Source organism: Homo sapiens, chromosome 9 (genome assembly GCF_000001405.40).
Source record: "Homo sapiens chromosome 9, GRCh38.p14 Primary Assembly".
NCBI lineage: Eukaryota > Metazoa > Chordata > Mammalia > Primates > Hominidae > Homo > Homo sapiens.
Window position 1 is genome coordinate 115,646,610 of NC_000009.12, and position 22,071 is coordinate 115,668,680.

Sequence of the window (22,071 nt, forward strand, 5' to 3'; positions counted from 1 at the left end):
ATGAAAGTAGCATCAGGGGGTGTATTACTTTGTTCTCACGCTGCTGATAAAGACATACCAGAGATTGGGTAATTTATAAAGAAAAGGAGGTTTAATGGTCTCACAGTTCTACATGGCTAGGGAGGCCTCATAATCATGGCAGAAGGCAAAAAGCATGTCTTACATGGTGACATAAAAGAACGAATTTGTGCAGGGAAACTCTGCTTTATAAAACTATCAGGTCTCATGAGACTTACCACTATCACGAGAACAGCACAAGAAAGACCCGCCCTCATGATTCAATTGTCTCCCACTGGGTTCCTCCCACAACACACAGGAATTATGGAGCTACAATTCAAGATGAGATTTGAGTGCGGACACAGCCAAACCACATGAAGGATAGAGTGAATTCAACAGTATAGAAACGTAGAAGAGAGAGTTCCTAGAAGTAGATTACTTGAGTGAATGTGATGAGGAATAAGGGGGAGCTAAAGATCATCCAGACATTTATAGACTGGGTGGCTAAGAGGATCTGGACTCAAAGTAGCCATAGCTTTTGCTGCTTTAACTGACGTCAATTCAATGCCAAACTTAGAGTAGCATGGCAGTCCTTAGCTGCTGTACTTCTTGAGCTTTCTTCGATATTCCCTCCAGGTATAAAACCTGTTTGCCTCAGTTCAGTGCTTCTATTAGCGATATTCTTAGGGCTCTCTCTGTCACAGGTTTGTCCTTGTTTTGCTTACTCAGAGGCACTTTCTGAAAGAATAATACAGCCTCCCTTCCATTTCCTGCCTCCTCCTTCCAATTACATAAGGACAGCCATGAGTGTTTTAAGCATTAAAAAATAGTATAGATCAATTTGTCAATATTTCTAAATGAGGCTTTGCATGACAGAATGTCTGCTCAGGGACTAGAGCTCTGCTTTCTTGATACTGATGACCTTAGTTACTGGGATTTCCTGAAGGGTCTTTTATTTTGTTGCTGTTTTAATGAATACACAATAGCATTTTCGACCCAGAGCAAATGTCCAAGAACACCTTCCATTCTCACCCTTCATGAGCCCTTCACTGGTTTTGAAACTTCTATTAACTCTAATGGTCTTTACTGGTGGTAAATTGTCTCTCTGAGCATGCTGGTAGCTCACCTAATTGGGTCTACCTTATTGTGACTTGAAATAGCACCAAGGAACGGGATGTCCTTGGACTGAGAACCTGATTATTTCATCCTTTAAGGTTCAGCTTAGATAAATATGTTTAGTGAAGTTCTCATTAACTTCCCTACCTGCCTCTAAATGTGGCTCAGACAGGTAGTTGCCTCCTAGTTGATAAGGATACTGTTTACTATATACACACGTCTGCTTTTTTTTTTTCTTTTCTTTTGGAGACAGAGTCTCATTCTGTTACCCAGACCAGACTGCAGTGGCTTGATCATAGCTCACTGCAGCTTGAAACTCCTGGGCTCTAGTGATCATCCCGTCTTGGCCTCCTGAGAAGGTAGGACTGCAGGTGTGCACCACCACACAGGGATAATTTTTCTTTCTTTTTTTTTTTTTTTTAGAGATGTGGTCTTGCTTTGTTGCCCAGGGAGGAGTGCAGTGGCATGACAATATCTCACTGCAGCCTCAAACTCCTGGCCTCAAACGGTCTTCTCCTCTTGGCCTCCCAAAGTGCTGGGATTACAGGTGCAAGCCACCACACACAGCCCACGTTTCTGTTTTAATCATAGAGGGAAGAAATACATAGACTAACCCAACAGCTAGCATGAAAATTCCTCCCAGAGTGGGAAATCTTTTGTCTATCAAAGTACCTTGATTAGCTGCTTTTGGTGGAAGATGAGACACTTAGGGCATGGTTAGAGTCAGGAAATTAAATGATTTTTGTTTTCAGCATTAAAAAATCAGTAAAGTTGAGGCATAGAAGAGAACAGAGAAGTGAGGGGAAATTGAACAACAATGGCGAGGGACTGGAGACTGAATCCCAGGCACATTTGAAACTTAAAACTTGAGCGCAGGTCATTTGATTACCCAGTAAGTAATTAATGGCACAGTTACAGTCTATCTACCACTTTCTAGACAAAAACATGCTTGGGCAGTCTTCATGGAAATGGCACTATGAACCTGTAGACACATTTATAAACACAAAGATATCTCACTTATTTGGAGATTACTATTTCCAGCACAGCCTGTGACCTATGAGTAGGCAGTGAAATGAGAGGATATAAAATAACCCCCAATAATAATACATAGCTCGCATTTATGAAGCTTGCTAGGCACCAGGCACTTTGTAAACAGTTTTTCTCATACATGATGTGCCTAACATTTGCAAAGATAGCGTGCATATTATGCATGTTTCCAATTTTTCTGGTAGAAAAACTGAGACTTGGAAAGGTTAAATGGATGCCAAGGTCTATGAGTTAGAATATGATGGACTAGCACTAGAACTCTAATTCCAAAAAGCCTGCTATTTACCAAATATTTTCAACCCAAGGCTTCTTCCTATGGATAACTAAATGTGCCTACTAAACCAAGTTTTAAATTTTAGTCATGAAATAGCCCCTTAAGTTCCAGAGTAGAGCTCATTTACTCTTTTTTTATATGATAACTTAATGATGATACCTGGTTATCTAGTTGACACATTAAAAACTATAAATTTAATAAGTCATAGTGATGAGGGAATCCAAGAGGTAGGCCTGTGGACAATGTCAGTGAGTATTGGAAAATTAAATGAGAGCGGACACAAAAGAACAAAAACAAAACAAAACATGGAATTCAAACAAACAGAAACAGTCAGTGTGAGAAAATTCAAAGTTTGTTAAATTCAGCGAAATTGTCACTATATTCTGGTCCAGAATGTCACTGTGAAGAGTGACAACTCTGGGTTAAAAAGAAATTATGTTATAGTTCCCATTTTGAAGTAATATGACAGAATAAAATATACTTCAAGGGAAAATAATCTAATTTAAATGACTAAAATATGCACTGGTGCAGTAAATGGCTTTAGCTTATGGAGAGAAGATATTTTGGTACCCACCCTGGCCTTGCACATACATGTTAGTTCTGTGTCCTGGAGTTTCACCACTTTGAGTCATATTTACTAGTTTCTACAGTAGGAAAACTAATTATTTCTGAGGGTCCTTGTGAAGAGGAAAATAGATGACGTGTATAACACGCTCGACACATAGATTATGTTCCATATAGTTGTATTAAATCATGTTGAAAGGTCATTTTTTGTGCCCAAACGGGAATGTTCTGGCAATTGTAAAGACTTTCCAACATGGTGCAGGTCTTGCCTGAAAATAGCATGTGCATGGAATATTCACTCATCATTAGGAGAAGAAAACAGAGAGGGACTTTCCCATTCCTGCGTTATCTATTTCCACTTTGTGGAGAAAGCCATAATGTGTCAGATACACTAACTCTTGTTCTTCATATCCCAGCCAGCATAGCCCATGAGACAGAAATAGCATTCATCGAAAGCCGCAATTACCTCATTTCACTGGCCCGTTTGTGTGAGATGTGCCTTGCCTCACAGTGACTGCATGGGGCCAAAAGTCCAGCAAACAGAGCTGCTGCTTGTCCAAGAAATGGCCCTGCAAACAGGAGAGGACAACATGTTCCCTGAGCAGATTGGGACCCTTGGCTGTTTCACGAGTGTTTTGTTTTTCAGGCCAGAAACAGTGTCTGAAAACTCCTGGGGATTTCCCAAGCCCCATTCGTCAGGCGGCCAGGCTTCCTCTGACATCATCTCTGAGTGATGGGGTGCAGAGAGGGGGTCACGCAGAAGGCAGTCCAGGGGAAGCTTTAGCACGATTGCGGGAAATCAAACAGCTAGTGCTAGAGTGATCAGAAAAACAAGGAGAGCTTTCTGAAAACAGTGTCTGGCACATTATGGACATTCAAGAAGCAGGTCTTGAATGAAACACTGGGAAATCTAATGACTGGAATCCCAACTTATGTGGTCAGTATATGGCAGAGATGAGATTTCAACTAGGGTGACCAAATATTCTTCTTTTCCCAGGACTAAGAACTTTCTATGGATGTGGGAATTTGTGTGCTAACGTTGGGAAAATCCTGGGAAAATTGGGATGAGTTTGTCACCCTAATTTCAATACTGGTGTGTCCTGGCTTCAAAGCTGATGCCTTTAATCATAAAGCAAAAATCTGTCTTCAAGGAGACTTGAGTTTAATAAAAAACAAAACAAAACACAGGAATAGACAACTATCATATAAATGGAAAGAGTATACTTGCTTGAGGAAAGGAGTTAGCAGCTTAGCCAACTGTTCACCAATTACCACCACTTCTTGCTAAGAGCACTGTCATTTGTTTAGAAAATCCTCCCATTAAACATGTATTTCAATGAGCCCAGTCATGGAAATTGCATTCTCCTTGCCAATGAATGGTTTAGGAATGAGCATGTAACATAATTTTGGTCAATGAAACATGTAGGGAGGTCTGATAGGCAGATTCTTGGAAAGGTTTTCATGTTCTTCAAAAGAAACCAACAAAAGCTTCCATCACCCACTGGACATTTTTATATCAGTAGGAGACACTTGTAACTGGGTGGCTGTTTTAGATTTACCAAGGGAACTAAAGCTAGGTTAGAAGATGGGGAAGGTAGAAAGAATGTGAGTCTTTTATGACATTGTTGAGCTGTTAAATTAATTGGCCTTGCAGTCATTTCACCTCCAGACTTGTGAGATAATACATTGTCTTTATTATTGAAGTAATTTGAGACAAGGAATTCTAAAGGCAGTCAATAACATCCTAGTCAATAAAATATCCAAAAAGTAATAGGACAACAGAGGAAGGAGAGCAGCTCATTAGATGATACCATCAGGGATGGTTTCATGAAGGATCTAACATTTGAATCTTGCTGTGGAAGAAGGGTATACATTTAACAGACAAAATCAGACATAGGAAACAACACTAGAAAAACTACAAAAGATGTAGAGCTCTGGGTATAGCTGGAGGAAAGTAAGGAATCAAATTTGGCTAAAGCTAGGTTTTACAAGAGTGATTAATTGAACAGAAAGCAGGAAATGTTCTCAAGAAACAGAACATAAAAAGTTTTGAATTCCAGGCTAAGCAAACTAGAATTTCCTCATAGATGGCAGAGAGTCTGAGGATGATTGGCTAGGATGTCACCCTACATCTTCAGAGAACTACTATTAGCCACTGTTATCTCTCCTTTATTTGAACTCACTTCACATTTAGAGCCATAGTTCTCAGCTTTAGAAACATATTAGAATCACCAGAAGAATATATGAACATGTGTGTGATTCTAATATGGTGATTGTAATATGACTTACCTTGGTTCATACACATACCCTTCAGATGATATATATATAGGGCATGAGCCTCTGCTCTGAAGAGAGAGGCCTGGATTATTATTTTTTTTATTTTTTTGCTCTCTGTTAAGCTATCAGGTGACTTTGAAATGCAATTATGCTTGAGACCCATAGACATGGTCATCTATAATTTTGAATATTTTAACCTTACTTATATGGAAAGTCTCCCATAATGTCAATCTAGAAAACATATCAGAGATTTTCTAAGCAAACACCTTCAATTTTATCTCTAAAATAATGCAAACGCATTGTAAACTCTATAGGGCCATGCAAATGTACTAACTCTTATCACCGTCACCATTATCATTATAATTGATGATCAAAGAAAACACATAGAAATTAAATAATTTATTCAAAGCCAACCTGCACATTAGCATCAGATCTGGGGCTGAAAACAAAGTTTCGGCATCACTTATCTAGCATTCTTTCAATTAAGCCAAGTTGCCAATATTTCAGTAATGCATATTTCCCCAAATATTCTGCAACTACTTTTTGTGGAAAACATATGTTATATTTCTTTTGATCTTCCATAATCCCAGCTATAGTCTTCCTGGATAACTGACTCCTATATGATAATTAAATCTCACTTTTCCAGTGGTTCTAAAACATGAACATACATCAGAATTACCTGAACCTGTGTAAAAATACATATTTTGTGGCCAACTCTAGAATATGTGATTCAATAAGTCTGAAGTAGTGATTCTGGTGATTCATACTTGTAAAACATTTTTTACATAAGGTCTATCCTACTTGGAATCACACTTTGAGAGATACTACATTAGTCCAACTCCATAGGTGAAATTTTTGTCTAAAAAAGTCATTTTTTAGTTAAGTAAAATGGATTTATATCCTGGATCTGACACTTTTTAACTATAACTTGAGAGAATTACCTTCTCTAATACAGTCTCAGTTTGCAAATATATAAATGGGGCTGGTAACAAATACCTGAAATGTCTACTATGGCAGCACAATGTGCCTGGTATAGTGTTTGGCGTGTGAAAGGACTCATGTAACTGTCCATTTTCCAGCTCGCTTTCCCTGTGGATCCTCTTTCCCCATAAAGAGAGAGATTCTCTGGCTCCAGTTGGAGATTCATGGCTCTTCTTCTAGCTGGCTCTCCTTCAGTGAGCTTGAGTTTACACTTCTACCACCAAATTACTAAAACGCATATGGAGCATATTTCTAGGAAATGTTATGCAAATCATTTCAAAGGGGGAAAATATGATCGGCAAATTATGTCAATATAATCCTCAAAGTAGTTCTTTGGAGATAAAACCTATCACATATGCTCTGTATCACTTACTTTGGCATTTTTAACAGTTTAACCATAGCAGCTGTTCCTGCTCACTAATTGCCTGCAACATTAAACAATGGTTGCACATCAGTTCCCAGACTTTTCCTTCTGTGTCAACCTCACAGCTTCCAGATACATGCAAGTTTCCCCAGGTCGCTTCATTCCTCTTGTGCTAAAAGATGTCATCATATGACTGAGCAAAAGATGGTTTGTGAAAGATCAAGGTGACCTTTGGTGTGAACCTTGGTGAAACAAGAGCAGTAATAGGGTTCCCGAGCCTGAGAGAATCTGTCCACAGACACAATCTTTCCATGACTCAAAGGACTGCAGCTAAGTTTGCATCACCACCCCTGGTGGATGGGTGATTTTTCCACGTGAATTTGCTGGGACCTTTTATTTTTTTACCAGAGATGATGTACAGCCATGTATCCTGGTGTTCAAGCTAGAAACTTCAAATTTATTGTTGATTCTTCATTCTGATCCCCTACTGAAGTCACTCTGTGAGTCTTATTAGTGTTTCCACTTAAATTCTTGACTGTTCTCTCAAGCCTTGCAGCTCTTAACACAAGCTACCATCTTCTCTAGCTAGCATCACTACAATAGCATTCCAGCTAATATTCTCTGACTTCTGTTTAACCCCACTCCACTCACTCATTCTCCACCCCTCCTGGAATGATCTAAAGTGCAAGTTGTATTATACCATTCTCTTCCAACTCTTTCCAGTGACTCCCCACTAGTCTCAGAATCTAAGTCCAATGTCATCATCCTGATGGACTAGAAATGAACACTGTCCAACATGGTATCCACTCAACACAGGTGACTAATTAATGAAAATTAAATTTAAAATTCAGTGTCTCAGTGATACTAGCCACATTTCCAGCATTCAATAACTCCATGTAGCAAGTAGATACCATTTTGCACATTGAAGATATAGAATATTTCCTTCATCACAGAAATTTCTATTGTACAGTCTTGCTCTAAATATTGAAAACTGGTTAGTATTTTTTAACTTATTGTATTGTTATGCATGGCGATTATATGGGTAAACAATGCCTGGAAGTGCTTCTAAGAAGAATGAAAACTGATGTGAGCATTCTAGAAAGCAACTGTTTTTTAATGAAATGAGAATGTTTATTGGCTCCAAATAATTCTCACACAGATCCTAAAGGGAATGGATTCAAAGATGTTTACTGCAGCATTATTTTCTGCTGGTAGGGGTTGAGAGACAACCTAAGCGTCTGTGACCAGGGGACTGGATGAATAAAATATACAAGGTGCATATTGCAGAATGCTATGAAGTAGTCAGAAGAAAGGAACTAGATGCACACATACCTTTATTAAAACATAGTGTTATACTTTTACTGTAGAATATTAATAAGTGACAAAATAATAATTTAAAAATTACTGATATAGGCAAACACTTGGATGAATCTCACAAATATTAAGTGGAATAAAAGATGCCAGACATCAAGGAGTACGTACCATGTGATTCCATGTTTATGAAGTTAAACATGCAAACTAATCTGTGGTAATAGAAATCAGAACAGTAGTTGCATCTATTTTGGGATTTGCTGTAAAGGGAGAGAAGGACATTTTCCAGGGTGATGGAAATGTTCTATGTTTTGGCTATGGTGTCCATTACACAGGAATAGACATTTGTCAAACTCATTTAACTGTACACTTAAGAACTGTGCATCTTACTGCATGTAAATACACCCGAATAAAATTATTTTTAAAACAATATTTTAAAGGCAAAAAAGATTAATTTTAGATGAGATATTTATCGTAAGTATATATGCATGCAAAACCATAATATATATTTTACAAAGGTACTTATATAGAAAAGTATATTATAACAAAATATGAGGCAATATTTTTGCTAAGGGTCAGGGAAAATAAATGATAATAAGAATTAGGGATGAAAGAGCCAAAAATTAGAATAAAGTAAACCAGAGAGAATCCTTAAGTGGACGAGAGGTGACTGAGCCATGACTGGGGCTTATAATAATTCAATTCAACTCTGTTATTGAAACCAGTAAGACCTTCACTGGGAGAGAGTCTGTCTTTTCTAGGGATACTAAACTGGGATTGTATATTATTGGATTTGTCTCCCTCTTCTCATAAATTAATGCTGGCTGCAGGAAGGAGAAATGAGTTACAAAGAAAAGGAAGTGGAAACAAGAGGAGAGAGAGGATGAGGGAAACAGGGAAGATGAGGTTACAGAGAGACAGGGATGGGCCAAAAGGAAAAAGAAACGGAACAAGTTGACATTTGAATCTTCAGTTTCTGAGCCAGCTCCATCTCTGGAACTTTCAGTAATTTAAACAAATACATCAAATACATTTCGTTTTTTTCCCTTTTGCTTAAACTAGTTTAAGCTGAGTTTCTGTTACTTGCTATAAAAAATGTACTAATTCTTTAGTGTGGTTTATCATTATAAGAAATATGTGTTAAACCCTATTTTACCATTTTAAAAACTTTTCATCATTGAAATATTCAAACATATACACACATAGAGAAATTAGTATAATAAATACTTAACTTCAACTAGTTTTAGTATGTTGTTAATCTTGTTTCATTCACCCCATCTCCCTGCCCCTGTCTCCCCTCTACCCAAGACACTACTGGATTAGTTTGAAGCCAGTCCAGACACCACTTGGCCATTCAAACATAAATATTTCAATATACATCTCTAAAATTAAGAATCTTTCAGAAAAATATAACCACAATATAAAGATCATACCAAAAAAATCTCTTCATGGTGTAAAATATGTGCCCCATATTCAGATTTCCCTGACTGTCTAATATATATAATTTTAGCATAATTTTAAGGCAGGATGCAAACAAGATCTAAAACAATTAATCTGAATGATATGTCTCTGCAATGCATTTTAATGTACAGGTTCCTTATCCCTCTTTGTGCGTATGTGCTTGTGCACCTGAGCTTGTATGTAATTTGTGTGTTGCAGAAACTTGGTATCTTGTCTTTCAGAATTTTTCTCATTCTGAATTTTTATATTGCATTTTTATTTAATATCTTACTTTAGTCTTGTATTTTCTGTGAACTGGTAAGGTTTGAATACTTTATAGGAGGCAATCTATCGGTTCCTATTCCATCATATCAGAAGATAATTCATGTTTGATGATGTCTATTCTTCTGATGTTAAGATTAATTAGTTGATTCAAGTGTTTTCCATCTGACTGAACAATTTTTAGGCCTTATCAGATTTATTATGAATTGTTAATTTTTGTCTCCTGCTTCCTGTTTAAGTTTCCAAACTTAGTGTTTGGCATCTCCATGACTTAACTAATTTATCTTACTCTTTTTTTTTTTTTTTTTAATCTTTCCACAATGTCAGACTTTTAACTTTAAGTTCAGAGGTACGTGTGCAGGTTTGCTACACAGGTAAACCTGTGTTATGGGGATTTGTTCTACAGATTATTTCATCATCCAGGTATTAAGCCTATTACTCATTAGTTATTTTTTCTGATCCTCTCCCTCCTCTCGCCCTTGACCCTCCAATAGGCCACAGTGTGTGTTGTTCCCCTCTATGTGTCCATGTGCTCTCATCATTTAGCTAATATACAGAACTCTCCACCAAATACTGCATATTCTCACTTATAAGTAGGAGCTAAATGATGATTAAACTTCTTAAAGTTCCTCATTGGCATTTCACCTAAGGTTTTAAAATCCATGAATGTTCATTGCCTAGATTTATTATTATTTCATGAGGGATGCCAAAATGTTAAGAGTCTATTATTACCCCTAGGTTTAATAGCGGCAATTGTTCTATAAAGAAATATCTTCCATAAATATTTGGATAATAATATACAGTTATTATGGAGAAGAAGAATTAATGATTGTGTTTTTCTTCTTGTTTAGAAGTTTTCAGAATATATTGGCTCATATAAAGGTGAAAAATGTGAGTTTGTGACTTTGTTTAAAGGTGTCCTTATGAACTCATGGATTATAAAACATTGTATATATTTTAATCTATTTCAGTTATTAGTCTTTTCATGGCCCAAACTCTCCCACTTTTTGGCCAACTCCTGAGAATATTTTTGGGGAACTCCTAAGTCCTTTTGACATATTCTCATTTCTTAATAGAGTTGCTTTCTAGGTATGATACAATATCTCAGGCTCATCTTGTAAGTTTCTGACACCAGATCCAGAAGTAATTAATCATTTCTTCAAGGTGCCCTTGTTCTCGTTAGTGGGAACTGACATCTTGAAGCAGTCACCTGGAAATTAGAGGGACTTCTTGCTACTGGTTAGTACTGGTCAAACGTTGTTTCTAATGCTTTTTGTGGACAGAACTAGGAAATATGTATATCTTTAAGATAAAATATTTCACAAAGTCATACTATTTCTAATTCAAAATTGGGTAATCTTTGGTTTGTTTAACATCTTGATTTTAAATTATCTGATGAAAAATTTTGGTTCCCAAGCACTTATATGTTTTATCCAATTAAAATAGCTAATAATATTAGAATACAAGCCAATGTTTTTACTATCAATATGACTGCTGAAAGCAAGTTAAGAAGTTTCTTGCATTTTATTTTGTTCTTGGTGTATATTTCCACTTCATTGTGCTTTATAGTCAACTAAAATAAATCTTTCGTGTGTGTCTTTGTCACCAGCTGAATACACACATCCATTTATTATGTTTTGCTTTCAATTTTTATATATTTCCCGGTTTCTTTTATTTTTTTAGAATGATGTAATATATTTACTATGGCTCCAAAGTAAAATTTACAAAATGAGATACATTCAGAGAAATCTAGATTTTATTTGTACCCTCTATTTGTCTCCTCCCTCCTCTGTAGAGAAAATCATTTTAATTTGTTTACTTTTGCTTCTGTTCCATTTTAATATATGTGCAATGTGGATCTTAGAGAAGAGATATGCTATGCATATGGTATGCTTTTCTGAAATTTGTCAAGCCTTGTTTACAAAGTGAAAAATCCTTTCTTTAAAATATTCTACTTTTCCTGCACCTACTTCAATTATTTAAGCAAAAGTAGGAATTTATGTAGAGCAAGTTCTCTTAATAAAAGGCATGTTTATATTCTGTAACCAATGGGAAAGGGACTTAAAATGTTGAGAAAGTTCCTTTGAAGGCTAACATCTATAACTATTAACATTCACAGCAGAGTTTCTTTCCTCTTTGGAGTTGAACAGATTTTCGATGAGAAAAGTGTAGGTTTTACTAATGGAAATGGCCTTGTGTGTATACAGAACTGGGTTTGTGGACATTAAAAGCTATTTGACATGTGCCGATCTTTTCCTAGTAAGAATTTGGGAATAGAAATATCTTTCCTGCTTCTTTGATCTCCTTTCAAATCCCATGGAGGTATATTATGGCTGCAGAGAACTATAAATGTTATCGAGCTGCAATTTGAACGCACTAAAAAATGTAGTTGCAAAGGCAATTCAAACATCAGGTATCCTTTTCGTCATCCGGACTCTGGTTTTAGAGCTATTGAGGGAGTTCTTTTAACTCTCAAACTGCATTGTATTGCTGACCTGGTATGAATACTCAAGTTACCTTGAATATCTGCATTTTTGATGCAAGATAGCAGCTATTACTTTCTTCTGCTCTTTTCTTTAAAAATACATACATGCAGATAGATAGATAGATAGATAGATAGATAGATAGATAGATAGATAGATAGAATCACACACACACACAGAGACACACATATTTCACCCAAAAAGCACTTCCTTTTGAGGACAAACATAACAGTTTTGAATAAAGGGTTTATAATCTCTACCCAGTTTAGATATATGTCTGATTCCTGAAGTTATCTCACTGAAATGTATTTTCATAACCATTTGCCATTTGAGAATCTTGTTCAGTAAGCATGTTTAAGGAGGTTGATGACAAAGAAGGGAGGCGTTATATATTTCCTGCTACAATAATTGGGAAGAGACTGAAAGACAATAAAAAAGGCAGAAGTCCTATGTTCTCTTCCTCTTTCCCATAAATAGTATGTAGAAGATAAATGCATAGTGTATTTTTAACTGTATAACATAAATTTTAATTTACTAATATTGCTCACATTCAAACACATATGCATTGTACATTTAGAATCTCTAATTCTGTAGATAATATTTACTGGGGTATCCCATCTTCCACCTTCTTGAATTATCAAAAGGGGCTAAGTCTATAAAAATGGAAGTTACTTGCCTCACAAGACTAAGTAATGGAAAAGAAGGTGGCAGTGAGGACCCACTTTTTCTTAAACATCTTTGTGACTACCACTTAAAGACTTTTAGAGACTGATACTGAAAACCCTTCAGTATCATTCACCAGCCTTCTGAGATAAATAAGACAGAAATTGATGTCCAACCAAATGGCTGTCTCCACATATTCTAACCAAGTCATTAACAACTCCAGAAAAAAAAAGAGCTGCTGTTTACTGTTTTACTGTGTCCTTTAGAATTTTAAACCTGCCTGGCTAAGCATTTAAGGAAAATTCATCTTTTATTATCTGAGCTATCCACACTCTACTCATACTGCATCCCTGCTGCCCTTTCCACATCACTCTCTGCTCTCCAAAATTAGAGACTTGCTCAGGAGAGACACTGTACTGGAAGACTGGGAGCCACATACAACTCTTGCTCAACTAACAACGTGCTGTGTGTGATCTCAGACCAGCACTTTTCCTCTCTGTATTTCCTTTCCCTTCACCATAAAATAAGAACCATGGAATAATGATCTCTATGGCTCCTTTCAACTCTGACATTTGGGGAATCTACAAAAACGCTCTAAAATATTAGAAGAGTTCAATTTAAACACCCGGCCACTTTAGAAGGGCTTTGCATATATATTGTATTTCACTTGCTAAATCGCCAAATAAACCTGACACGAGTGAGCCCCAAGAGGACAGGAGACCAAATTGCAAATGTCTGTTTGTGATGATGAAGGTTTTGTAATCTGAGCATTGATTCTAGAAAGCTGTTAGGTGCTTCTTAAAGTAACATAAGATTATAAAGTGATGTATTACCCACGAGGAATCATTTCCCATTTACATTTCATTTTCCTCTGTGGTATTTAACTTATTCTTTTTATTATGTGTAGCCATCATAAATATTTATGCTGCAATGTATGATTGGTCAATAAAGAAAAATCAATACTGGATTTTTTCTTCCCAGGAAAAAGATTGTGCTTTACTTAATTTTAACCAAGAATCTCAAAAACCAGCACAGATAGGATAGGAATCCAAGTGGAATATATATAATTTATTTTATATTTTATACTATGCATATTTTATACTTACACAGACACTTGTATCCATACACAAAAGCTTTTGGTTTAATATGGCATTTTTTGTTAGTAGCCCTCAATTCAGCCTAACTGCTGTGCTATAAACTACAAAAATAATGAACTTTAAAGAACACAGAAAACTATTAGAGTTACCATACCATGTTTATGGTAGAATCTTACATTAACTATAAAGAAAATGAAATTGGTAGTAAGAAAAAAAGAGTTTGTCTACTCTGTATCACGTAATATTTTAATGTGTGGGTTCCAGCTGAAAAAAAATTACACTCTTACTCTATAATGTGTGTGGGCGGGGATAGGGGTGTGGAGAGAAATGATAAATCCCATTCCAATAATTAAAACAAGTGTATGTGATAGTGTCACTGAATGTCCATTTAGATTGTTCAGGGACGTTCTTGAACATGAATTTTTAAAGCTGCAATCAGATTGCCAAAAAATGACAATAATTCAGTTGGAGAAGTAAGGCCTATAAATTAAAAAAAGAATCAGATAAGGCAAGAAGTCGAGAGTGCTCGAAACTCTTGCTATATTCAATGAGTAGTTTATGGACTCGCAGCATCAGTATCGCCTGGAAGCTTAATAATGCAGGGTATCAGGCACCACCTCAGACCTACTGCATTTTAACATATGTTCCAGATAATTTGTATGTATATGAGTGTTGTAGCAACACTGCTCTAAAAAGGGGAATTCAGGGAAAAAGAAACACTCAGTTTGCAGTTGGAATGATTCCTGGAGGAAGAAACACCCAGGCAACCCAAGAAGATGGATAGGATGCAGCCACATTTTGTTTGCCATTCCTTCTCCACATTCTTCGAAAAGGTTCATGGCTAGCCTATGCAATGAGTGTCATCAAGCTAGCACAGGTTATATCTCTCACAGATACACTTAGATATTTGGAAAGGATCACAAATGACAATGGTATGCCTTGCATTTGTTGACTTTGAATGTGTGACTCTAGAAGGACTCAACCTAAATGGATCATTTTTCATGCTCTACCTTGCAGTCATATTAGAAAAATTGTAGTACAAAATATAAATGGGCTTATAGTACATGTTTGTAAGTGTGTGTGCATATGCACTGTGGTGTAAAAGAAAGCACAGGATTAGAAACCAGATGGATCCTATTCCAATAATTTTGCTTTCCTCTAATCCTCAGGGTTCTTACCCATGAAATGGGATTAATAAAACCTATCCAAGAAAGTTGTTGGAAGAATCAAATGAACAGAAAAAGTCATCTAGTTTCATACCTAGCACTTTATATGTGCTCAAAAAATGCTAGTTACCTTCCATTTAATAAACACAATATATTATCTAGAGCTCCTGTTTTATAAAAAAAAACTAGACATATTATCTCTATAAGCAGGAGATATGACTTGAAATCATTTTACTATAGATTGTGAGAAATAAATAAGATTTCAAGATACTGACATTACCATTGAGATGCCAGATAGATTTTGTTTGGTCAAATGTATGGTATAAATAATAAATACATAAAATTAATTTGCACTGAGAAAATTAACAGATCCCTTGGGATTTCCTTGCCATTTTGGTACAATTTTGCTTGGGAAAGAAACAGAAGGAATAATGCTCTGTCAGTTCTGAGGTTAATTACTAGTCATCATGTTGGCTGTTTTATGAGAAAAACATGTATTGTAATTGTCACATGTTCAAATCTTACTTTGCTAATGACCCTTTAAGAAGATCTTTGTTAATTATCTAATTTGTCTGGAAAATTAGGCTGATTTAAGACCCCAATATGCATGCTACATTCTCTCTATAGTTTAAATTTTTCAGAATGTATGTAAAAATATTATTGGCTTTTGTTTTCCATTACGGAGGTACAATTCTTTATTAGGTTCTACTCCATGCCCCACCCAAATTCATCAGTTACATTAAATGAGGCAACAAAAATCACAGGACCTTGGAGAGGATCACCAGGGTCAAAGCTAATTGAAAATTGCTACCAAAACAAGGAATCATGAGTCTATTTTTTATGGACCATACATAAGACTTAAGGAATCATGAGGCTTGGAAAGATTTCAGTGCAGAGAAAGTGACAACAGCATAGCCAAGAATGAGAAAAGAATAGAAAGAACATTAGAGGAATGATTCTCTCAGCCAGGGCAAACCTAAGCACACTGTTCCACCTCATTTGCTTACGTTCACCAGCACTGTCTTAAACCTCAGGAAGTGAAGGTATGAAAAAAAAAGAAAAAGAAAAATGATTTTAAAAAGTCTCTCATCTGATGTAAGCAGGTAAGCAGTGGTTAAAAGAGTGTTTTTTTCTGGTAATATAGATGGAAAGACATTCTAGGCTTTTACTTTCTTTTCTTTCTCTCTTTTTCCTTCCTTCCCACCCCCACCCCCTGCATAGGAAGATAGAAGCATCTTGAAGTGGTTTCTTTCCTGACATTTTCTTATGAGAAAGGGAGGAAAATTCTTGGTATTCGAGCCTTGCCTGAGATATGGCAGCAAAGTGTACCCCTCTCTACTTCCCTTTCCCCACCTTCTCACTGAAACATATAAAGCATATACTCATCTTAGGCCCATCCTGTCATAGGCAGAAATAGAATAAAACCAACGGGATAAAAGGAGAAAGGTGGAGCAGGAGATGTAAGTTGAGGCCTGGGACCTGGCTCTCCACTAAACAGTGGTATGACTTTCAAAGATTCTCTTTTTTCTTTCCTACAGTGTCCTTGTCTGTAAAATGAAGGAGGGAAATAAATTTTATTAACTATTTGAACCACTATATGATAAGCCTACAAATATATGATTAATGTATGCATTTTACCTTAATGGTTTTATCATGTTTAGCAAAGCAAGTTTCATAGCATCTTGATGGTTAAAGCCCTACCCTTCAGAATATTTTGGACCTGAGTTTGAATTCTGAGCTCATACTTGGGACAAATCTAACTGCCTTACCTGTAAGGTGTAGAAAATATGATATTCTCAAGGTTGTTTTGTTTCCATGAAAATTAAATAAGAGAAGTACAACGCTTGGCTCAGAGTAAGTCTGTGATAAAAAGAGAACCGTTTTACAGAACTCTTATTGCCTTGCTTTAGGACACTAGTATGTGAGGTCTGGTGCTGGAGCAGCTATTCTATAACCATGAAGTGAAAAGCACACAGATAAAAATCTAGGTCCTTGATGGCATCATTGAGCCACAGAACCAGCCCTGGAATTGTCAATTATCAGCATTCTAAATAAAACAGCTAGTACATTTCTGTATTGTATTAATTACTAATAGTCAGAACCTTGTTGTTTCTAGTTGGCATGCTAGATAGTACAGAATATATGCCTAACTACACAGAGCTGATGGTAAAGGCTCAGGTATAAACTGTTAAAATTGAAAGTAAAGTTGGCTCTCCACATCCATGGGTTCCATATCTATAGATTCAACCAATACAGGTTGAAAATAGTAAAAAATAATTGCATGTCTACTGAACATGTACAGACTCATTATTGGTTTTTATTCTCTAAACAATAGAGTTAAACACCTATTTACAAAGCATTTACATTGTATTAAGTATTATAAGTAGGCAAGAAATGATTCAAATTATACAGAAGAAGTGAATACATTATATGCAAATACCTCACCATTTTATAACACAGACTTGAGCATCCTTGGATTTTGGTGTACTCTCAAGGTTGTTTAACCAATTCCCTACAGATACGGAGGGACAACTGCCTTCAGAATGGTAGTTGTAATGTAGGTACTGTGCTGAGGCATTTTTTCCCCTTTCTCCTACTTGACTGTGAGCTACTTGGAGCCATTAATGATTTCTGTCACTCAGCGTCCTACCCTGCAGATGACACTTCATAACATTTCTGGTCCATTAACAGGAATTAAATTTACCTCTACAGTGTGATTTCATTATGAAGTCAGATGGAATGAGGAGTGTGTAAATCCAGAATCAGAATCCCAGCGACGAAGCTTTTCTTGCTCTGTTACCTTGGGTAAGTCATTAGATTCCTCTAAGCCTCAATTTCCTCATCTGTAAAATGATGACAATATCTTCTGTTTCAGGGATAGGATCAAAGTTATAAAGGCAGGGAAAAGTGTACAAATGTCATAAGCTTCAAAGCATTCCCCCACTCCCATTTTAGTACTACCCTGAATATGACCATTTGTGGAAACTAGAAAAATGAGGCTCCTCTTCCAAGTCTGTGTCTCAAATGTGTTTAAGTGGCGGGCATCACAGTACATTCTCTAGCACGTTTAGAGATTTTGCTCTAAAACGTCTGGTAGTTTTATGACTTTAATCCCAATATTGAATTCCAAAATGCCTCACACAATAAAATGTTTCTTTATTCAGAAAATGCTTTGAACCAGACCAGATAAGAAAAGTAAAAGTCTGGAGTGTAATCCTTCCAATTGTCTTTTGGCTTCTCTTCTACTTCTACAAAAAGTTCAACAAGTAAGTCACTTCTCCATCAAGAATACGAGGGGGCTATGCCTTTATTTCATAATGGTAAAAGCATTTGAGCAAGTGAGCTGAGCTTAAGTCCCTATTCTAACACATACTAATCATGGTACCCTGGGAAGGTAACTCACTGATCCATTGTATTTTCATGAATAAAATAACACAAAAATATAGGCTTGACTTGGGAATGATATGAGATCATGCATGTGAAATAAAAGTCCTGGTAAACAACAAAGTTTTGTATGGTATCTGCAGTATTAAAATCACATGATTTATGAATCATTTCAGTGGTCTTTTTTTTTTTTTAAACAAAAAGCAACTGGAGCAATGGCTTGTAATTTATTATGGGTGCTTCCTCTCATTTTTCCAAGGAAATTCATTTTAAGAATTCTTGCTTGTGTAATGGAATCAACTGATCCAGAAATGGCTTTGAAAATAGCAATCAGATATGAGATGTTTTCTTTTAATTCCTTTTTATCCATTATCTATAGAATCTTCCTGTCAGGACAAGCCTTGAAACTAAAAGGGAGCAAAACAAAGAAAAGTATATATATAAAGCTATAAGATGTGAAAAAGAAAGGTATTTGTTTCTTAGGGATGTCATAACAAATTATCACAAACTTGGTGGCATAAGCCAACAGAAATTTATTCTCTCGTAGGTCGGTGGGCAGAAGTCTAAAATCAAGGTGTCAGCAGTGTGGAATCCTTCTGGAGGCTTTGAGGTAGAATCTGTTTCATGCCTCTCTCCTGGCTTTTAAGAGCTGCTAGAAATCCTTGGCATTCTTTGACTTATAGACACATCATTCCAGTTTTCTGCCTCTATCTTTACATCATCTTCTCTGTGTGTCTGTATTAGTCCATTCTCATGCTGATATAAAGAACTACCCAAGACTGGTTAATTTATAAGGGAAGGAGGTTTAATTGACTCACAATTCTGTCTGGCTGAGGAGGCCTCAGGAAACTTAAAATCATGGTGGAAGGGGAAGCAAACAGCCCTTCTTCACTGGATGGCAGGAAGGAGAAGTGCCAAACAAAAGGGGAAAAAGCCGCTTGTAAAACCATCAGATCTCATGAGAACTCACTATCACAAGAACAGCAGCATGGAGGTGAACATCCCCATGATTCAATTATCTCCCATCAGGTCCCTTCCTTCAACATGTAGGGTTTATGGGAGCTACAATTCAAGTGAGATTTGGGTGAAGACACAGGCAAACCATATCCTATATCTTTTCTTTTGTATCCTATCAGGACACTTTTCACTGGATTCAGGACCCATCCAGGTAATCCAGGATGACCTCAGATCACAGCTGCAAAGACCCTCTTTTCAAATAAGGTCACATTTACAGGTTCCAGGTGGATTTGAATTTTGGGTTTCACTGAACCCATTACAACAGGCTTAGAGTATACTAACCTGGATTTAAATCTCAGCTTATATACAGACTACACAATTTGTACTCTCTGTGCCTTCACATCCTCTCTTGTAAATAGGGTCATGATAATATGTTTCTAACACTGTTGGATGTTAAAGTGTGAATGTTCAAGGCCTGTCATGTAGCAAGCAGACACTCCACACATGGTATATTTTAAGGCAAATTCTGGCCTTTTCACATTTAATATTTGTAAAAATGAAAGCTAACGAACAAAAGAAAGAGAAAGAAAGAAAGAAAGAAAAAGAAAGAAAGAAAGAAGGAAGGAAGGAAGGAAGGAAGGAAGGAAGGAAGGAAGGAAGGAAGGAAAGAAAGAAAGAAAGAAAGAAAAAAAGAAAGAAAGAAAAAGAAAGAAACAAACTCAGATTTAATGGAAACTTCCCTGGATTGGGTCTCAGAAGTTCTTTTCCAAATTCTGTCACTAACCAGGTTATTCTAATACATTTGAGCATTTCTTCTGCCCCCCTTGGCAGTGGTATAGATCTCCTACTCCTCATCTGTAAATTGTATGGGGTGAACGCTAAGACGTTTCTTTTGCTTTCTCCTCTCTGATGTATTGGAGTTTTATAAGTGTAACATTTAAGTTTGTCTTGGGCATATTTGGGTGAAAAAAACACCTAAAAACCCCCTCAGAATCCAGTAAGAAACACACCCTCTAGCCATGCTGCTGACTTCACATAGTTCTGCAGATTGGTTTTTTAGGGATAGATTTTGCTTAGGCGCTCTTCCCACCCATTTCTAGAAAGTGCAGTAAGCTGGCTAAACTGAAACTTTGGGGACAGCTCGTATCTTCTCAGACTTTCTACTAATTCTTGGTTTGCTCCTATCCTTCTCTGTTGCCTCTATCACCAGATTTCTCAGCTTTTCAACGTTCTAAGTCCTGGCACTGTCTTTGAGAAATGTCCAGGCTTGCCTTCTTGGGCAGATAAAGGCTGTAGGCAGGAACACAAGGACTATCTGAAGAGCCACAAAACTATGCATGCAACCAAGGCTGGCTATACAATTTGTGAGGCTCCTTGTTTAACAAACATAAAAAGTGCCACGAACTATATTAAAATATAATATTTTCCTTCTTCACCAGTCTCCTCCCGAGTTGTCATATTGTTTGCTATTGTCAAGAGACAAAATTACAATAAATTTAAAGACCTTAGTTGGGTTTCTTTTGCAATTCCAGATTTGGACAGCACCTCATTTTATCAAATAGTATGAGTGTTCTGATGAGTTGAGCAGAGGAAGTTCACTTAATAGACAGAAAAGGGCTGAGGAAAGCAGAAACAGAATAAAAAGTGGGTTGGTTGTTTCAAAGTTATTTTTCTTGTAAAAGTTAAAGCAAATGTGACTTTCTTCTCAGGGTAAAACTGGCCTGTTTGGGGATTTAGCTATTATTTCTCTCACTTCTGACTTCTTGAAAAGTCAGATAAACAACTTAGTTTTGGCTTGGTGGTGTGGAACTTCCACATAAGTAACTCCACTTTGGTTCTGTCTGTTTGGCCGAGTGCAGGAGCTCAGTCCAAACCCATGCCCTCCTATAAACTTTATTTAACACTATTCAATGTCACCCTCTAACAGGAAGATACTCATTGCATGTGAGCAGACCCTCCCAGGTGACCAAGGTCTGTCCCATAATCTGCTGTGTGCATCTTGCTGCCTGGTTCTCTTTCCCATCAACCTCCACACTGGAGTGGAATGCCCTAACTGGGAGCACAGAATTCAGTCTTTTCTTTCCAGAGTTCATTGCTCCAACCCACTGGGATAGGAAACCACTAAAGAATTTCAGTCCTAATACTGGGACTAACCCGTGGCAGGGCATGTTGCTGCCGTACACTCCTAGAGACACCACAGGGCATGCACATCTGATCCTGATCTGCCCACCCTGCACCATGAGCAGACCCCAACTGGAGATGGATGATGACAGTGAACATAGGCTTCTCACCCCTGATGACACTACCAGGGTCCTCACAATCCTGGCTGGAGGGCAGCAACAGTCACAGAGCAGGGGCTTGGAGGGGATGGCTGGCTGGAATCCCAGGTACTAAGTACCAGGGACCTGGAGCAGGTGGCTGAAAACCTATCCAGGGGAGGTGAGAAGGCAGCAGGCTGTAGGGTCCATAGGACTAAGACTCCAAGTCCTGAAACATGCTCCATTGTCCTATCAGATTTCACTTCCACAATACAAGTTCAAACAAAAAATTAAGGATTTCAAGAAAGTGACTGTGGAGCTTTAAGCCCAAAGTACGGTGCCTTTCCAAGTGTTGGTCCTGTGTGGCTGCACTTATCTCATGCTTGTGGAGCCAGGCCTGTGTGCAACAT

General features: G+C 37.1%; 1 long non-coding RNA gene across 1 annotated transcript in view; it reads left to right on the forward strand.

Annotated features, from left to right (window-relative positions):
• Positions 1-22,071, forward strand: part of LOC105376235 (uncharacterized) — a 76,146-nt gene that overhangs the window by 49,927 nt on the left and 4,148 nt on the right. The window contains exons 3-5 of the long non-coding RNA XR_930270.3: positions 17,775-17,867; positions 18,227-18,328; positions 18,994-19,056. This is a non-coding gene — a long non-coding RNA (uncharacterized LOC105376235). The remainder of the gene's footprint in view (positions 1-17,774; positions 17,868-18,226; positions 18,329-18,993; positions 19,057-22,071) is intronic.